Raw genomic sequence first — 19,149 nt, forward strand, 5'->3', positions numbered from 1 at the left:
AGTTTCCATCAAAATTGAGAGGAAGGGGCCAGGTGTGATGGCTCACCCCTGTAATCCCAGCACCTTGGGAGGCCGAGGTGGGTGGATCACCCCAGGAGTTCGAGACCAGCCTGGCCAACATGGTGAAACCCCATCGCTACTAAAAATACAAAAATTAGCTGGGTGTGGTGGCGCGTGCCTGTAATCCCAGCTGCTCAGGAGGCTGAGGCAGAATTGCTTGAACCCAGGAGGCGGAGGTTGCAGTGAGCTGAGATTGAGCCATTGTACTCTGGCCTGGGCAACAAGAGCAAAACTCCATCTCAAAAAAAAAAAAAAAAAATTGAGAGGAAGATACAAAGATTTCCCATATACCCCCTCGCCCCCACACATGAATAGCCTCCCCTATTATCAATGTACCCTACCAGAGTGGTGCATTTGTTACAGTTGATGAGCCTACGTTGATGTGTCATTATCATCCGAAGTCCAAGATTTATGTTAGGGTTCACTCTTGGTCTTAAACATTCTGTGGGTTTGGACAAATGGGTCATGACGTGGATCCACCACAGGGCATCATGCAGAGTGGTTTCACTGCCCTAAAACCCCTGTGCTCCGGCTGTTCATCCCTCCCTTCCCCCTTATTCATGGTAATCACTGATCTTGTCTGTGTCTGTATAGCTTTGCCCTTTCCAGAGTGTCTTATACAGCTGCTCCTCAACTTGTGACAGGGTTACATCCCAGTAAACCCATAGTGAGTTGAAAGTATCGTGATTTGAAAATGCGTTTAATATGCCTAACTACTGAAGCTTAGCCCAGCCTACCTTAAATGTGCTCCAAACAGTTACGTTATCCTACAGTTGGCAAAATCATTTGACACAAAACCTATTTTGTAATAAGGTGTTTAATATCTCATATAATTTATTGACTGCAGCACACTGTAGAGTATTGGTTGTTCAGCCTCTTGGTCACGTGGCTGCCTGGGAGGTGTGGCTGCTGCTGTTGCCAGCATCATAACAGTATTGTACCACATATCGTACTGCATGTCACACCGCATATCATACCATATATCATAGTGCATATCCTACTGCATATCGTACCACATATCGTACTGCATGTCACACCGCATATCATACCATATATCATAGTGCATATCCTACTGCATATCGTACCACATATTGTAATGCATGTCACACCGCATATCATACCGTATATCATACCGTATGTCATAGTGCATATCCTACCACATATTGTACCACATATCATATCGTAACACATGTCACACTACATATCATACCGCATATTATACCATCTATCATAGTGCTTATTCTACTGCACATCTTACTGCATATCATACTGCATATTGTAATGCATGTCACACCACATATCATACCGTATATCATAGTGCATATCCTACCACATATCATACCACATATTGTAACACATGTCACACCACATATCATACCACATATTATACCGTATAGCAAAGTGCATATCCTACTGCATATCCTACCGCATATCATACCGCATATCCTACCACATATCGTACATCATAATGCATGTCACACTACGTATCATACTACATATCATACCGTATATCATAGTGCATATCCTACCACATATCGTACTGCATGTCACACCATATATCATGGCGCATATCCTACCACATGTCCTACTGCATATCATACTGCATGTCACTAGTCCAGGAAAAAAACAAAATCCAAAGTAGTTTCCACTCAGTGCGTTTTGCTTTCTCAGCATTGTAAAGTAAAAAAAAATAATAATACATTGAATCATTGTAAGTTGCAGATTGTCTGTAGTTAGAATCATACTGTTTGTAGCCTTTTCCAGATTGGCTTCTTTCATTTAGTGATATGCATTTTAAGGTCCCCCTGTGTCTCTTCAAGGCTTTTAATAACTCATTTCTTCTAGTGCTGAATAATATCCATTGTAGGGATGTACTGTAGTCTATCCACTCACTAACTGAAGGACATCTTGGTTGCTTCCAAGTTTTGGCAAGTATGAATAAATGTGCTATAAACATCTGTGTGCAGGTTTTTGTGTGAACAAGTTTCCAGCTCTACTGGGTAACTACCAAGGAGTGTGATTGCTGGATCATATGATGAGAGTATGTTTAGTTTTGTTGATAAATTGCGAAGCCATCTTCCACAGTGGCCATAGGGTTTTGCCTTCCCCAGCAATGAATGTGAGTTCCTGTGCCTCCACATCCTCACCTGCATTCGGTGTTGTTGGTGTTCTGGATATAAAAGGATCACCGTCCTTTTAATTTGCATTTTCCTGGTGACATGTGATGTGGAGCATCTTTTTGTATGTTTGTTTGCCATCTGTATATCTTGTTTAGTGGAGTGGGGTGTCTGTTAAGATCTTTGGCCCATTTTTTTATTGTTGAGTTTTAAGAGTTCTCTGTGTGTTTTGGATAACACTGCTTTGTCAGTTGTCTTTTGCAAATATTTTCTCTCAGTCTGTGACTTGTCTTCCTGTTGACATTGTCTCTTACAGAACAGAAGTTTTTAATTTTTATGAAGTCCAGCTTATCAATTTTTTCTTTCATGGATTATGCTTTTGGTGTTGTATCTAAAAAGTCATCTCCATACCTAAAGTCATCTAGATTTGTCCTGTGCTATTTCCTAAGAGTTTATGGTTTCGCATTTTACACTTAGGTCTGTGATCTGTTTCGAGTGTGTTTTCTTGAGGGGTGTAAGGTCTGTCTAGATCATAGTGTGAATGTTTATTTGTTCCAGCACCATTTTTTGTGGAGACTATCATTCATTCATTGTACCGTATTGCCATTGCTCCCTTTTCAAAGATCAGTTGATGTATTTATGTGGGTCTATTTCTGGGCTCTTTGTTCTGTTGCATTCATCTATTTGTCCACTCTTTTCGCCAGTACACACTGTCTTGATTGCTATAGCTTTGTAGTGGGTCTTGACATCAGGTCATGTCAGTTCTCCAACTTTGTTCTCCTTCAATGTTGTGTTGACTATTCTGGATCTTCTGCCTCTACATCTGACTTTAGAGTCGGTTTGCCAATATTCATACAATTCTGAAATTTCTATTGCGATTGCATGGAATCTATAGGTCAAGTTGGGAAAAACTGACATCTTGACAGATTTGAGTCTCATTTGTGAACATGGAATATCTGTCCATTTATTTAGTTCTTTGTTTTTGCTTAGCAGAGCTTTATAATTTTTCTCATAGAGATCTTGTACATATTTTGTTAGATTAATACCTGTTTGATTTTTGAGGGTGCTAATATAAGTAATAATCTGTTTTTAATTTCAGATTATACTCGTTCCTTGCTGGTATATAGGAAAGCGACTGACTTTTGTATACTCACTCTGTGTTCTGTGACCTTGCTGTAATTGCTTATTATTTCCAGTCAGGTTTTTTTTGTTCAATTCTTTCATATTTTCTGCGAAGAAAGTTTAATTTCTTCCTTCCCAATCAGTATACTTTTTATTTCCTTTTCTTATTTCATTAGTTAGAACTTCCAGCATGATGCTGACACGGAGTGGTGAGATGATATAGTCTTTGTTTTCAATCTTAGTGGGAAAACTGAGTTTCTCACTTAGGTATGATATTAGCTGTATGTTTTTTTGTAGATGTTCTTTATCAAGTGGAGGAAATTTCTCTCTATTCCTAGTTTACTAAGAGTTTTATCATTAATGGTTGTTGGATTTTGTCAAATGTTTTTTCTCCATTTACTGATATGATCTTATGATTTTTCTCTTTTAGCCTGTTGATTTGATGGATTACATTAATTGATCCTTCAATGTTGAACCAGGCTTGCATACCTGGGATAAATGCCAGTTGGTTGTGGTGTATGATTCTTTTTATTTTTTATCTTTTGTTTTTTTGAGGCAGGGTGTTAACTCTGTCGCTCAGACTTGAGTGCAGTGGGGTGATCATGGCTCATTGTAGCCTCAACCTGTCATGCTCAAGCAATCTTAACCACCTTAGCCTCCTGAGTAGCTGGGACTACAGGCATGTGCCACCATGCCCAGCTAGTTTTTAAATTTTTTGTAGAGACAGGGTCTTAAGATCTCACCTAGGCTGGTCTTGAACTCCTGGGCTCAAGTGATCTTACTGCCTTGGCCTCCCAGAGTGCTGGGATTACAGGTGTGAGCCACTGTGCCTGGCCCTATGTGATTCTTTGTATACATTGTTGGCTTTGATTTGGTACAATTGTGTTGCAGATTTTTGCATCTGTATTCGTGAATGATATTGGTCTGTAGTTTTTTTTTTTTTTCTTGTAATATCTTTGTCTGGATCATGCTGGCCTCATAGAATGATTTAGGAAGTATTCTTTCTGCCTCTGTGCCCTGGAAGAGAGTGTAAAGAATTGTATAATTTCTTTTTTTTTTTTTTTTGAGACAGAGTCTCTCTCTGTCTCCCAGGCTAAAGTGCAGTGGCACGGTCTCAGATCGCTGCAGCCTCCACCTCCTGGGTTCAAGCAGTTCTCCTGCCTCAGCCTCCCGAGTAGCTGGGATTACAGGTGCCTGCCGCCATGCCCAGCTAATTTTTGTATTTTTAGTAGAGGTGGAGTTTCAGCATGTTGGCCAGGCTAGTCTCAAACTCTTGACCTCAGGTAATTCACCCATCTCAGATCTTACTGCCTTGGCCTCCCAAAGTGCTGGTATTACAGGTGTGAGCTACCGTGCCCAGGTAAGAATTATATAATTTCTTTATTAAATGTTTGGTAGAATTCACCAGTATTAGTGCTTTCTAGCACTAGCTGGGCCTTGTGTTTTCTTTTTTAGAAGGTTATTAATTATTGACTTGATGTCTTAATAGGTATAGGCCTATTCAAATTGTCTGTTTCTTCTAGTGTGAGTTTTAGCAACTGTGTCTTTGATGAAATTGGCCCATTTTACTAAGTTATCAAATTTATGGGCATAGAGCTGTTCATGGTATTACTTGATTATCCTTTTAATGTCATGGGATCTGCAGTGATGTCCTCTTTTACCTTTCTGACGCTAGTAATTTGGATCCACTTTCTTTTTTTTCCTTAGTTAGCTTGGCCTAGAAGTGTACTGATTTATTGGTATTTTCAAAAAAGACAGCTTTTGATTTCATTGATTTTTCTCTGTTGATTTCCTATTTTTAATTTTGATTTCTGCTCTAATTATTATTATTTCTTTTTTCTGCTTACTTCAGATTTAATTTGCTCTTATTTTTCTAGTTAATCCAAGCTAGAAACTTAGATGATTGATTTTAGATCTTTCTTCTTTTCTAATATATGCATTCAACATTGTAAATTGCCCTCTAAGCACTGCTTTTGTTTGCATTCCACAAATTCTGATAAGTTTTCATTTCTATTTAGTTCAAAATGCTTTTACATTTCTCTTGAGATTTGTTTTTTAGCCTCTGTGTTATTTAGAAATATGTTGTTTAATCTTCATATATTGTGGGATTTTCCAGTTATTTTTCTGTTACTGATTTCTAGTGTGATTCCATTGTGACCTGAGAGCAGATGTATAATTTCCATTCTTTAATATTTGTTAAGGTATGTTTTATGGCCCAGAATATGGGCTATCATGGTGAATTATATGCCAGCTTGATAAGAATGTGTATTCTGCTGTTGTTGGGTGAAGCAGTCTAACGCTGCCCATTATACCCGGTTCACTGATGGTGCCGTGGAGTTCAGCTATATCCTTACTCATGTTCTGCCTGTTGGATTTGTCCATTTCTGATAGAGGGATGTTGAAGTCTCCAGCTGTAATAGTGGATTCATCTATTTCTTCTTGCACTTCTATTAGTTTTTGACTTAAATAATTTGACCCTCACACATATTAAGGATTGTTATGTCTTTCATTAAAGACATAAAATTGGCATCTTTATCATTGTGTAATGCCCTTCTTTATTCATGTTGACTCTCTTTACTTTGAAGTGTGCTGCGTCAGAAATTAATATAATGACTTTTGCTTTCTTTTGATTAGTGTGAGCATGGTATATTTTTCTTCATTTGGGTTTCCTGAAGACAATAAGTAGATGGATCTTGTTTTTTGATCCTCTCTGACAATCTCTGTCTTGTGATTGGTACATTTAGATCATTGATGTTCAAAGTAATTATTGATATATTGGATTAGTATCTGCCATATTTGTTACTATTTTTTATTTGTTGCCCTTGTTATTTGTTCCTGTTTTTGTCTTTCATTCTTTTTTTGCCTTCTGTGGTTTTAATAGAACATCTTATGATTCTATTTTCTCTCCTTTCTTAGCATATCAGTTAAAGGTTGTTTTTTTTTTTTAACTTTTTAAAGTGGTTTAAATACATTTACAACCAATACAAGTCCACTTTTGAATAAGACTGTATCACTCCCATTCCTTGTATCCTTGCTGTCATTCATTTTACTTGTGTATAAGCAGACATAAGCATGTTATCCCTTGGTATTGGAACAGGATTGGTTCCTGGACCCCCTGTGGATACTAAAATCTGCAAACGCTCAAGTTCCTTAAGTAAAATGGCATAGGATTTGCATATAACCTATGCATGTTCTCCCATGTATTTTAAGTCATCTCTAGATTGCTTATAAAACCTAATACAATGTAAATGCTATGTAAATAGTTGTTATACTGTATTTTAAAATTTGTATTATTTTTTATTTTTATTTTTCCAAATATTTTTGGTCTGTGGTTGGTTGAATCCATGGATGTGGAACCCACAGATAAGGAGGGCTAACTATGCATATGTGTACACAAACACACATACACACACACGGATAAATACCTAAGCATACGTAATTGAATACATTTTTGCTACTATTATTCTGAACAAACTGTTATCTGTTAGATCAATTAAGGAAAAGAAAAGGAAGAGTTATTTCCCTTTACTTATTTCTTCTTCCATCTTTTCTTTTTTTTATATAGACCCAAGTTTCTGACCTATATTATTTTCCTTCTGATAACGGTTTGGCTGTGTCCCCACCCAAATCTCAACTTGAGTTTATCTCCCAGAATTCCCACATGTTGTGGGAGGGACCCAGGGGGAGGTAATTGAATCATGGGGCCTGGTCTTTCCCATGCTATTCTCGTGATAGTGAATACATCTCATGAGATCTGATGGGTTTATCAGGGGTTTCTGCTTTTGCCTCTTCCTCATTTTCTCTTCCTGCCACCACGTTCAAGAAGTGCCTTTTGCCTCCTGCCATGATTCTGAGGCCTCCCCAGCCATGTGGAACTGTAAGTCCAATGAAACCTCTTTTTCTTCCCAGTCTCGGTTATGTCTTTATCAGCAGTGTGAAAACGGACTAATACACCTTCTTTCTGAAGAACTTCTTTTTATGTTGCTTGCAAGACAGGTCTACTGGCAACAAATTCCCTCAATTTTGTTTGAAAGTCTTTATTTCTCCTTCACTTTGGAAGCATAATTTTATAGAGTATATGTGTAATTTTGGGCTGCTGAATATTTTTCTCTCAGTACTTTAAACATTTCTCTATGCTGTCTTCTTGCTTGCATGGTATCTGAGAAACTGAATGTAATTCTTTTTTTTTTTTTTTTCTTTTTGAGACAGAGTTTTGCTGTCATTGCCCAGGCTGGAGTGCAATGGTGCGATCTCAGCTCGCTGCAACCTCTGCCTCCCAGGTTCAAGTGATTCTCCTGCTTCAGCCTCCCAAGTAGCTGGGGTTACAGGCAAGTGCCACCACGCCCAGCTAATTTTTATGTTTTTAGTAGAGATGGGGTTTCACCATGTTAGTCAGGCTGGTCTTGAACTCCTGACCTCAGATGATCCACCTGCCTCGGCCTCCCAAAGTGCTGGGATTATAGGTGTGAGCCACCGCGCCCAGCCTGTAATTCTTATCTATGTTCCTCAGTAGATAAAGTGTTTTTTCCCCATCTGGCTTCTTTCAGGATTTTGTCCTTATCTGTGATTTTTCTGTAGTTTGAATATAAGATGCCTAGGTGTAGATGTTTTGATATTGATCTTGGTGTTCTATGAGCTTCCTGGATGCGTGGTTTGGTGTCTGACATCAGTTTGGAGAAATTCTCAGTCATTATTGTATCAAGTATTCTGTTCCTTTCTCTCTTCTTCTGCCATCCCCATTATACATGTGAATACCTTTTGCAGTTGTCCCACAGTTCTTGGATATTTTGTTCTGTTTTTTTTTTTTTTTTTTCCTTCCCGCTTTTTGTTCTCTTTGCTTTTCAGTTTTGGGGGTTTCTATTGAGGTATCATCAAGCACAGAGACTTTTCTTCAGCTCTGTCCAGTTTACTAATGAGCCCATCAAAGTTGTTCTTCACTTCTGTTTCTGTTGTTTTGTTGTTTTTGACCTCGAACTTTCCTTTCTGGTTCTTTCTTAGACTTTCCATCTCTCTGCTTGCCTGCTATCAACTTTGTCTATTAGAGCTCTTAGGATGTCCTCATAGTTGTTTTAAGTTCCTGTTCTGATAATTCCAACATCCCTGCCATGTCTGGAACTGGTGCTTGCTCTGTCTCTTCAAACTGTATTTTCTGCTTTCTAGTATGCTTTGTAATATCTTCTTGATTGTGCAGTGGCGCGATCTTGGCTCACTGCAACGTCTGCCTCCCAGGCTCAAGCAGTCCTCTCACCTCAGCCTCTGGAGTAGCTGGGAACACAGGTGCACACCACCATGCCCAGCTAATTTTTTGTATTTTTGGTAGAGATGCGGTTTCGCCATGTTGCCCACGCTGGTCTTCAGCTCCTGAGTTCAAGTAATCTGCCTGCCTTGACCTCCCAAAGTGCTGGGATTAAAGGTGTGAGCCACAGTGCTCACTACAGCTACACTGTCTTTAATGGTGTAGATAAGCTGAGCACCATTCAGCGGGGAATATATTCATGGATAAGAAATGGATTGCTGCACATTTGAAGTTTATTTGTAAAACACTTAAAAAATTTTTAGCCACCAGAATTATAGAGGTTTCCCAAAAAGGATGTTTACTGTTTTCTCTTTTTGGTCCTACCTGTAAGTTAGCAAGGGTATTTCTTAAAGGAATTTAACATTATATTAGTTTTACAAATACCTAGAGTTTAAAATTAGCAACATCAAAGGAATGTCAGAAAACATATATGTTTTCCCAATCTATTTGCAATATTCAATTTTATGATTGAATTTTTTGGTTTTGTGTTTGATTTTTACCTCTAGGAAATTGAAAAGGAAGAAACTGATTTAGAAAATGCTAGAGCTGATGCATATACAGCCAGTTGTGAAGATGATTTTGAAGTATGTATAAAAGTTAAAACTTTCCTTAGCTTAAAAATCATTTATTCTTAAAAATCAGCTTATATATAGTAATTTGATGTCCTTTTTATTCTTTTTATTAATCCTAATACTCAATATCTGGCTAGGTTGATTTAGGTCAAGCTGTTACCTGTAAAATGCTTGCTATACTTCTACTAATACTTACCAATATGATGTAATTAAATGATTTTATAATTTAACTCATATTTAAGTGCAGTGCATAAAAAGATGTATACATAGGTATCTATAAAAATACATACACTTTCACATTCTCAGCACAAATGTTTGCACGTGATGATAGTTGATAGGTCTTCTGTATATGGTTCTGTATTGTGTGATTTATTTTTAGAGAAATAAAGGTAGCAGTTTATATAAATTTACCTTCAAAAACATTAAAATCAGGGAACTATAAATATCTTTCTTAGCTGTAATAAGGACATTGTCTGTTTTAAGTTATAAAGTGTCATGTTTTGTTCAGTATGAGGGATAATTGAAAGTCAGTTTGTCTTAAAGGGTTCCAAAAGATTATTATTGTTTGCAGGACTATGAAGATGACTTTGAGGTTTGTGATGGTGATGATGATGAAAGCAGTAATGAACCTGAGTCAAGAGAAAAACTGGAAGAACTTCCTCTAGCTCAAAAAAAGGAAATACAAGAAATTCAAAGAGCTATTAATGCAGAAAATGAAAGGATTGGCGAGTTATCTTTGAAACTGTTTCAGAAGCGAGGTAGAACAGAATTTGAAAAGGAGCCCAGGACAGGTAAACAAATCAATGCTACTAATGGTGTCCGTGCTCTTAGGGCTCTGTGTACTGAGCCCTCACAGATGCTGTCACACACAGGCCTACTCTAATAAGGTGGGTGGAGCAGTAACATCTTCCACATGCTGGTGGTGCCATGCCCTTGCAGCTACCACATAGGAGGCCCCTGAAGACTTGAGCACGAGCCCATCCAGAATTCTCTTACACAGAGAAGTTGCACGTCACTTTCTGCTCAGCACCCAGGCCTTAGGTTAGCTGAGGGTGCCGTGGCCCCACTCAGTGAGCACTGATGCTCCTGTTCTCCAGAGGGAGCTGAGGATGCTGTGGCCCTCCTCAGTGGGAGCTGAGGATGCTGTGGCCCTCCTCAGTGGGAAGCCTGACTCATGTTTTCTTTGCAACCAGCGTTTTATCCGTCTGTGAGCACATGCTCTTATTTTTCCTGATGATGTGCTCCTTGAGTTTCCACAGAGGAATCATCATGGTTTTCCCTGGAGGCGTGGCAGTGTCCACTGATGAGTGCCTTCATGAGGCACGTGGGGACTGAGGGGTTGAGGTGCCTGTCAAGTCTTGGGACACAGCTGGACTGAGCCTGACACGAAGCATGCTCTTGATCCATTCTTTTTTTCCTACAAGGACCTTTTTAAATTAAATTTAGAAATGTATTTTTTCTCCAAATTCTTGGCATCAGGATATAATGTTACTTGTGAGAGTAGGAATTAATGTTTCAAATTGCTTTAAAGGAAAACTGACATTCTGATAAAACATGGGCACTGAGGATAAAATAGGATAATATTAAAATACTATTTGATGACGTACTACTTTAAATTATCTAGTAAAATATTCAGTAATTGATGCAGTTAATTATAGTTAGTAATTAATATGATGCACTAATACAAATGAAGGTTTTGCAGAATGATTCTTTGTCTCACATTTTGTGCCTGCTACAGAGGTGGCAGAACTCAGCTGGGCAGTGCTGATAGAGCGTTCTTTAAACTTATAGCTAAAGGGCACCTGTCCTGGTAGAGGTAAGGATCTGCCCCTTCTTCAGCCCTATCGCCTGGCTGAGGCTCAGGGACTGTTTCCCTCAGTTCCCCGTGGGGTAGCGCTGCACACAGGGAGGGTCTTTGTGCCACCAGCACACAGGATTTCCTGACAGCATTAAAGCTTGTCTGCTCTGGAGTTGCTGAGACGCGAGCAGGATTTTATTCTTAACGTTACTGGTTTTCTTAGCAGATCTTTGAATAACCTTTTTTTGTTACTCATTTTCAACATTTATGCTTAGTGTTATATCTTTATTAGCCTGATTTACAAGATTAGAATTTACAACTCTCAATATGAGATTATTTTTGGCATATTTCTTATTTGAAGGAGTTATTCACTGTCATACACATTGCTCCAGGTAAAGCTGGAGCTGCTTTCTTGGCCCTGTTTAATGTTGAGCTGGCACAGGTGGACGGTCGTAAAGACTAGCACAGTGTTGACATCACAGTCTGTGCTGAAGCAGGAATCACGGAGCCATGCTGACTCCGGGGTTTCAGATAACTGACTAGCTGTGTGATCTTGGGCAGTTACTTAACCTGTCTGTGCCTCATTTTCCTTAACTGTGAAATGAGTGTCAGACTTTCTTTAGGGTTGTTGTGAAGATTAATTAAGCAAGCTAAACATGGAAGGTGCTTAAAGGAGTGCCAGGCACGTTCTGAGTGCTAAGCACCGGTTTGTTTTCTGTGTCCTCCTTGGCTGTACTCTGCCACACCCTGTGGTGCTTGGACTACTTGGTTATAAACTGCACGCCTTATCCTTTTTTAGGGCAGTAAGAAACCGTTTGGTAAATAACTTTTTCCCGTGCACTAAAGTTACACCATGGCGTTTGAAAGCCTTTGTACACTTCCAAAAGGTAAATGGTCCACTTGGTCAGTGAAGGAGTCTTTGCTGAGCGCCAATGACTTGCACAGAGGTGTGCGCTCTGCTCCAGGGATGTCTTTATTCAAGTCTTAATTCTGTAACTTTAAACGTTTTCTCATTTTTAAAAACAGTCACATCTTATAATGTCTGTGTGGTGCTTTCTAATTGCTCATAAATGTGGCCTCCTGTGGTCTGGTCCTTATCACAGTCCTGTACGGCAGATGTCCAGCAATAAGGGAACTGAGATGCAGAGATGAGGTAACCTCCCATGGTCATGAAGCAAGTAGCGGACAGTGCTGGGACTTGAGCTCAGGCCCCTGACCCAGACAGGCATCCTCCAGAGCCACACCCTCTGCATTGCTGGCCGTAAAGCTTTGTTGTGAAGATCAGATGAGATAATGTGTGGGAAAGGGCTCTGAGTTTCATAAAACCGTAAGACGGGAGGGCAAGTGCAAACCAATATCCAAAAGGAATGAAAAGACGATAAGATGCAGTAGAAATAAATATACAAACAAATAAATACACAGGTAAGTATGTACAAGAAGCCACCGAAATCCTTAGGGGGAAGAGGTGGATTGAGGAATGACTTGTGTCCATTACAAAGGATTGGGGATGGAGTTGTTTGTTCTTGTCTTTCTTTTTCTTTTTTTTTTTTTTTTTTGAGACAGAGTCTCACTATGTCTCCCGTGCTGGAGTACAGTGGCATGATCTCGGCTCACTGCAACCTTCATTTCCTGGATTCAAGCGATTCTTCTGCTTCAGCCTCCCGAGTAGCTGGGACTACAGGTGCTCGTCACCATGCCTGTCTAATTTTTGTATTTTTAGTAGAGACGGGGTTTTGCCATGTTGGCCCGGCTGGTCTGGAGCTCCAGCCCTCAAGTGATCCGCCTGCCTCGGCCTCCCAGAGGGCTGGGATTACAGGCATGAGCCATCGTATCTGGCCAAGTTGTTCATTCTTATATAATATGAACCTTTTCCATCAGCCTGACAATTCAATAATCTAATCACATCTTCAGAAATTTTAGAGCTTCTGAGGAAGCTCATGCCTTCATTCTCTTTTGTTTCGTGCCCTTTGACATATTAAGTAATTGATTCAATATTAATTTGCACTTGTTTCTGTTTTTTAGCAATTTTGTATGTCCTTGTTCCACTTCCCTTACTAAAAGATAATCTTTGTTTTTTTTGCAGAATGGGCGGGATGGGGGCTTAGAACTGCATCTTTTGTGCATTCTTAAGTATTTCTAAAACTCTTTAATAGTGTGAGTGGCACATACAATAGATGATCAGTAAATTTTGCTTTGTTGCCTGAAAGTTTTAGATGAAATAATCAAGAGAGGTCTCTCAAATGCTTATGAAAGATGTTTGTCATTAGTTGAAGGGTTTATTGACTATAATTGTTATATATGCCTATAATTGTTTTACTCCAGATATTTTTTTGCTTGGAAGACATATTTCCGTGTTGGAAAAATAGTGTTTTTCTCCCTCACACAGATACAAACAGTTCCCCTTCCAGAGCCTCTGTTTGTGGAATTTTTGTGGATTTTGCCTCAGCTTCACACCGTCAAAAGAGTCGGACTCAGGCCCTTAAGCAAAAGTAGGTGTATTGGGAAAGCAGCCAAAGGTGTTCAGGGTTTTAGCTTAACTTTTCTTTCACATACTTTTAAAAAATCGAGTTTTAAAATGCATTTTTACTACTGTTTTTTGGGGTGTATGACTTAATTTGTACTACACTTTTGTGTTGAGATCTTATGTTAGTAGAGCAGGTGTGTGAGCCGCTACGTACCATGTGCTGATGTTGGATGTTTGTTCTTAGATTTGTGGCGGACAGTTGGAGCTACCCTGGGAGTAAATCGAGAAATTTGTAAAATTTAGAAATCTATAAAAGATATATTTTAAAGTCAAGGGTCTATTATACTAAGCCCAAATATGACTGAGGAGTAAATGAAAAAAATAAATATTTTTATTTATTTATTTTTTTGAGACAGAGTTTCACTCTTGTTGCCCAGGCTGGAGTGCAATGGCACGATCTTGGCTCACTGCAACCTCTGCCTCCCGGGTTCAAGTGATTCTTCTGTCTCAGTCTCTTGAGTAGCTGGGATTACAGGTGGCCGCCACCACGCCTGGCTAATTTTGTATTTTTAGTAGAGACAGGGTTTCTCCATGTTAGTCAGGCTGGTCTCGAACTCCCGACCTCAGGTGATCCACCTGCCTTGGCCTCCCAAAGTGCTGGGATTACAGGCATGAGCCAGCATGCCTGGCCAAAAAATAAAGATTTTTAAAAGTGGATTTAAAATCTCTTATCACCTAGCTCAGTATATGGCCTTCCTTAGTCAGTACTCAATAAATATTTACTAAATGAAAAAATCAATCATTAATAATAAAAGTGGTTGGGCATGGTGGTATATGCCTATAATCCCAGCACTTTGAGCACAGGAGTTCAAGAGCCTGAGCAAGGAGGAGTTCAAGGGCCTGAGCAGCATAGCGAGACGCACCTGTGGTCCCAGCTCCTGGGGAGTGCTTAGGTGGGAGATGGCTTGAGCCTGAGAGGTCGAGGCCGCACTGAGCCGTGACTGCACCATTGCACTCCAGCCTTGAGGCTGCACTGAGCTGTGGCTGCACCACTGCACTCCAGCCTGGGTGGCAGAGCGAGACCCTGTCTCAAAAAAGAAAAAAAAAAAAACTAATAAAGGTGACAGTTTTCACAGCAGTTTTGCTGCCTTTATATTTTGGTTCTCCTGTGGAGGTAGCAAAACTGGTTTCTGGCCCCATGGCCTTCTTTTTTTTTTTTTTTTTTTTTTTTTAAACCTGATTCAAGTTCTCAGAAAACTACATATGGTTTAATGCAATTTTTATAAACTCAGAAATAAAGCTACACAGTATGTTGTTTAGACTCATATAAATATGAGATAAAATTATATTTTGAAAAACAAGAAACTGATAACCACAAAATTCAGTCTAGTGATTGTTGTGGGCAGTGGGGGATCTTGGAATGTGTCAGGGAGGAGCCACTAAGTAGATGGGGGTCATTGGTTGCCTTCCCTCCCTTTCCATTTCCCTTTCCCTTTTCCTTTCCCTTTCCCTTTCCGTTCCCTTTCCTTTCCCTTTTCTTTCTTTTACGTCTTCTGCTTTTGAGACAGGGTCTCACTCTGGCACCCAGGCTGGAATGCAGTGGCATGATCTTGGTTTGCTGCAGCCCTAACCTTCTGGGCTCAGGTGACCCTCCACCTCAGCCTCCTGAGTAGCTGGGATTACAGGTGTGCACCACCACACCCAGCTAATTTTTATTTTTTTTTTATGTAGAGGCAGTGTCTTGCCATGTTGCCCAGGCTGGTCTTGAACTTCTGGGCTCAAGCAATCCACCCACCTCAGCCTCCCAAAGTATTGGGATTACAGGTGTGAGCTGCTGTGCCCGGCTGGTAATCTAGTAATTGGTAGTTTTCTAGTTAGGTCCTAGGATGTTAACTAGATTGATATATAATGTACAAGTAGATTATATGGATTATTTTGGATCAAAAATTTTATTAAATATTTTAAAAGAAAAATTTAAGAAATGAAAGGCCGAAACATAAAGGGATTGATGATAAATAAAAAAGTTTTTGAGAAAAATGTAGGAGTCCACACTTTATACGCGTGTGGGGTGAGTTCTGGCATTTGTGTGTTGTAAGGAAATAGTATAGAGGCACTTTTACTACTAGATATACATTTAGTAAATCAACTTGAAATTTGAGGGAAAATAGATACCTGCTTCATAGTATACCCAAGATAAATTCCAAATGGATTTAAAAAAAAAATGAAAAAGAGAGCATAGCTAGTGTAAATGGTTATTTCAGTGATAAGAAAGGACTTTCTAAGAATAAAAAGAATAAAAATTAAAAATTACTGGAATGTACCTCAAAAATTGAATTTCTGCAAGGTACAATTGTCTGTAAATCTGACAAAATTTAAAGGTAATTGACCAATTGGGAAAATATATTTGTAAAATATATGATAGAGACTTATTATCCCTAATGCATAAAATGTTTTTATAATTTAATAAGCAAAGTTAAATAACCCTAGTTAAAAATGGGCACAGATCATACAAGACTTGAGATCCAGTCAGGAAAACAAAAACTAATTTGGGTATTAAACAGAAGGATGTGACACAGGGAGTGAATTCCTTAGGTGTTGGAAGAGCTGAGCTTCAGCAGGGCCCAGGAGCAGCTCAGAGATTTGCCGCAGCAGGAGCCACCCCTTCCCCTGAGCCGGAGAGGCTGGGCGGTCGGGAGCTGGAGCCATGGCCGGCCTGCTGGGGCCACAGGAAATACCTGTCGGTGGCTCAAGGTAGAGAGGTAGAAAAGTAATGTGTTTGCTTGTTTTCTCTTACATTATTCCCCAGTCTCTCACCAGATGGCCCCAGGGTGGTAAAGGACACAGAGAGAATTCACAACAGAAAAAAATTAGGCTGTCAGTAAATGTATGAAAATATGTCCTGTCAGAGAAATGTATATTGAAACAATGGGATGAATTTTTCTTTTATGGAATAGGCAAGGTATTAAAAAATGATAATACTTAGGCCAGGCATAGTGGCTCATGCCTGTAATCCCAGCACTTTGGAAGACTGAGGCGGGCGGATCACCTGAGGTCAGGAGTTCGAGACCAGCCTGGCCAACATGGTGAAACCCCGTGCCTACCAAAAATACAGAAATTAGCCAGGCATGGTGGCACATGCCTGTAATCCCAGCCACTCGGGAGGCTGAGGCAGGAGAATTGCTTGAACCTGGGAGGTGGAGGTTGCAGCGAGCTGAGATCGCACCACTGCACTACAGCCTGGGCGACAGAGCAAGACTCTGTCTCAAAAAAAAAAAAAAAAAAAAAAAAAGATAATACTTCAGTACTGATGAGAATGTAGAGAAAAAGCTTGCTTGAAACAAATTGGTACAATGTCTGCATAGGCAGCATTCTATCAGGTATGAAATATAGGTATCAAAACGATGGATACTCTGAGGATATAATGTCATGAAAAACGCTCCAGTGATACGAGAAAAGCATCTTACAAAAGAATATGTACAGAGTCCTACTTTCTTGATGGAATGGCTTGTATCAGAGAAATCCTCCAGCTAAAACAAGGGTAAAAGTTGGATTTAAAACAACAAAAACACTCCAGCTGATTGAATATACCGGAGCAACCAAGGCCGCTGGGCCCTGAAGAGCCGAGGTCCTGGAAAGAAGGGAAACATGGAGGCGATCCCTGTTTCCATTCAGGTTTGCATCTTGATTTCTCAAGACAGTAGAGTGAAACAGAAAGATCTGATGGCCTAGGGCATTTGACGTTCGCACAGGGTCGAGGGGATGAAAATGGAAGTTGAGAGCCTTCCGGTGGGAGAATTTCTGATAAAACATCCTAGGTTTTGGTCGAGCCTCCTGCAGGCCTGTGCTCTAGGAAGCAGGGCAGACCTGGAGGAGTGTGAGGTGAAGGATCGGGGGAGGAGGAGGAGCAGAGAGCAGACCCGGTGGCCGAGGCACCTGGATGTTGGGCGGGTCGTTCACTCGGTCATTCACTGTGCATTCATTGAGCACCGGCTGTGTGGCGATAACAGTAAAGAAACAAAAATCTCTGCCCTTGCGAGTTTATATCCCAGTGAGGAGTAACAAACAAATATCTTAAGGATTTGACCCCGGGCACACTAATGTTAGGGTGAAACTTAGGAAAGGAAAACCCAGCACAGGCGATGGAAAAGGAACTGTTTGTGAAGCAAGAGGAAGCCACGTGGGTGCGGCGTTTCGGGGCCTGTGGGCAGAGGGCCATCGGCCGTGTCAGGCCTGTGGGTGCAGGGCCATTGGCTGTGTCAGGTCTGTGGGTGGAGCATGATGGGCTGTGTCAGGCCTGTGGGCTGAGGGCGATTGGAGGGCGATCAGCTGTGTCAGACCTGTGGGAGCGCGATTGGCTGTGTCAGGCCTGTGGGCCGAGGGCAATTGGCTATGTCAGGCCTGTGGGCCGAGTGCGATTGGCTGTGTCAGGCCTGTGGGTGGAGGGCCATTGGCTGTGTCAGGCTTGTGGGCGGAGCACGATTGGCTGTGTCAGGCCTGTGGGCTGAGGGTGATTGGAGGGCCATCAGCTGTGTCAGGCCTGTGGGCCGAGGGCACTTGGCTGTGTCAGGCCTGTGGGCCGAGGGCAATTGGAGGGCAATTGGCTGTGTCAGGCTCGTGGGCCGATCACTATTTGCTGTGTCAGACCTGTGGGCGGAGGACGATTAGAGGGCAGTTGGCTGTGTCAGACCTGTGGGTGGAGGGCCATTGGCTGTGTCAGGCCTGTGTGCGCAGGGCGATTGGCTGTGTCAGCCTGTGGGCCAAGGGTGATTGGCTGTGTCAGGCCTGTGGGCGGAGGGCGATTGGCTGTGTCAGGCCTGTGAGCGAGGAGCGTTGGCTGTGTCAGGCCTGTGGGAGGAGTGCGATTGGCTGTGTCAGGCTTGTGGGCCAAGGGCGATTGGCTGTTTCAGGCCTGTGGGAGGAGCGCGAATGGCTGTTTCAGGCCCGTGGGCCGAGGGCGATTGGCTGTGTCAGGCCTGTGGGCGGAGGGCGATTGGAGCGTGAAAGGCAGGTCAAGTCCTGGGGGAAGCACAGAGGTTGGCTGTGGCCTGGAAAAGAGCGTGGCCCAAAACACTTACTGGCTGCGTGGTCCGACCATGGTGCAGGTGATTGCATAGTCAGTATGTCAGCTCCTGAAGTCAAATGAATTAGTCCTTAGGAACATCCCAGGCATATATGTTGTGTGACTTGATTTTGTGTTAGCTCAGGCATACGCATTAGAACGGTCACACATGAGGTTCGTGACACACACACGAGGCAGTCGGGGAGCAGAATCACCAAATGCCAAGGTCACACACCAGGTTCCCACGACTGTCTACTACTCAGTTATTTTTAACAGCTGTTAAATATCTCAGACTCACCCCAGCCTGAAGCTAGGTTTCTGACAATAACATGCATTTAACTCTAAGTTTACTTCTGTTCTCCCTACACTTCCCCACGTATATTATTCGAGTTAATTTTTGTCTTGTTTCCAATTTATTTCAAAGGATGCGAAGTACAAAACTGCTTCGGCTCATTGACTTAGATTTTTCATTTACTTTCTCTCTCTTGGATCTACCACCAGTAAATGAATATGACATGTATATCAGAAACTTTGGGAAAAAAAATACCAAGCAGGTAAGTATGAGATGTGTTAACTAAGTGATAAAATGCAAGTAAAGTCTAGTAGGATAACTTTGTGTCTTCCTGAATAATGTTCTGCAATATTAGAACTTGGGGATGGT

At 41.1% G+C, this 19,149-nt stretch overlaps 1 protein-coding gene across 29 annotated transcripts in view, besides 2 other annotated features; it reads left to right on the forward strand.

Annotated features, from left to right (window-relative positions):
• Positions 1–19,149, forward strand: part of DYNC2I1 (dynein 2 intermediate chain 1) — a 119,454-nt gene that overhangs the window by 53,393 nt on the left and 46,912 nt on the right. For 24 of the 29 annotated variants that reach the window (XR_007060058.1, XR_007060061.1, XR_007060060.1 and 21 more), the window contains 4 exons: positions 9,102–9,179; positions 9,739–9,958; positions 13,352–13,454; positions 18,913–19,042. Coding sequence is in view for 21 of the 29 variants with exons in the window: in XM_047420560.1 (XP_047276516.1) it covers positions 9,102–9,179; positions 9,739–9,958; positions 13,352–13,454; positions 18,913–19,042 (531 nt within the window). In the remaining 8 variants the exon portion in view is untranslated. Of the gene's footprint in view, positions 1–7,508; positions 7,628–9,101; positions 9,180–9,738; positions 9,959–12,522; positions 12,647–13,351; positions 13,455–14,662; positions 17,102–18,912; positions 19,043–19,149 lie in introns of those variants that run through there. The other 5 variants (NM_001350918.2, NM_001350917.2, NM_001350916.2 and 2 more) reach the window with 5 other exon arrangements.
• Positions 17,522–18,721: an enhancer, noted in NCBI's record as "BRD4-independent group 4 enhancer chr7:158702850-158704049 (GRCh37/hg19 assembly coordinates)". NCBI's record gives its function as "activates an origin of replication core promoter dependent on BRD2, P300/CBP, MED14 and CDK7 cofactors, and independent of BRD4, by STARR-seq in HCT116 cells {active_cell/tissue: HCT116}" and the evidence as "EXISTENCE:reporter gene assay evidence [ECO:0000049][PMID:35650434]".
• Positions 17,972–18,625: an enhancer, noted in NCBI's record as "H3K27ac-H3K4me1 hESC enhancer chr7:158703300-158703953 (GRCh37/hg19 assembly coordinates)". NCBI's record gives its function as "activates a minimal SCP1, AML or CMV promoter by ChIP-STARR-seq in naive H9 embryonic stem cells {active_cell/tissue: H9 hESC(naive)}" and the evidence as "EXISTENCE:reporter gene assay evidence [ECO:0000049][PMID:30033119]".

Source organism: Homo sapiens, chromosome 7, assembly GCF_000001405.40.
Source record: "Homo sapiens chromosome 7, GRCh38.p14 Primary Assembly".
NCBI classification, from domain to species: Eukaryota; Metazoa; Chordata; class Mammalia; order Primates; family Hominidae; genus Homo; species Homo sapiens.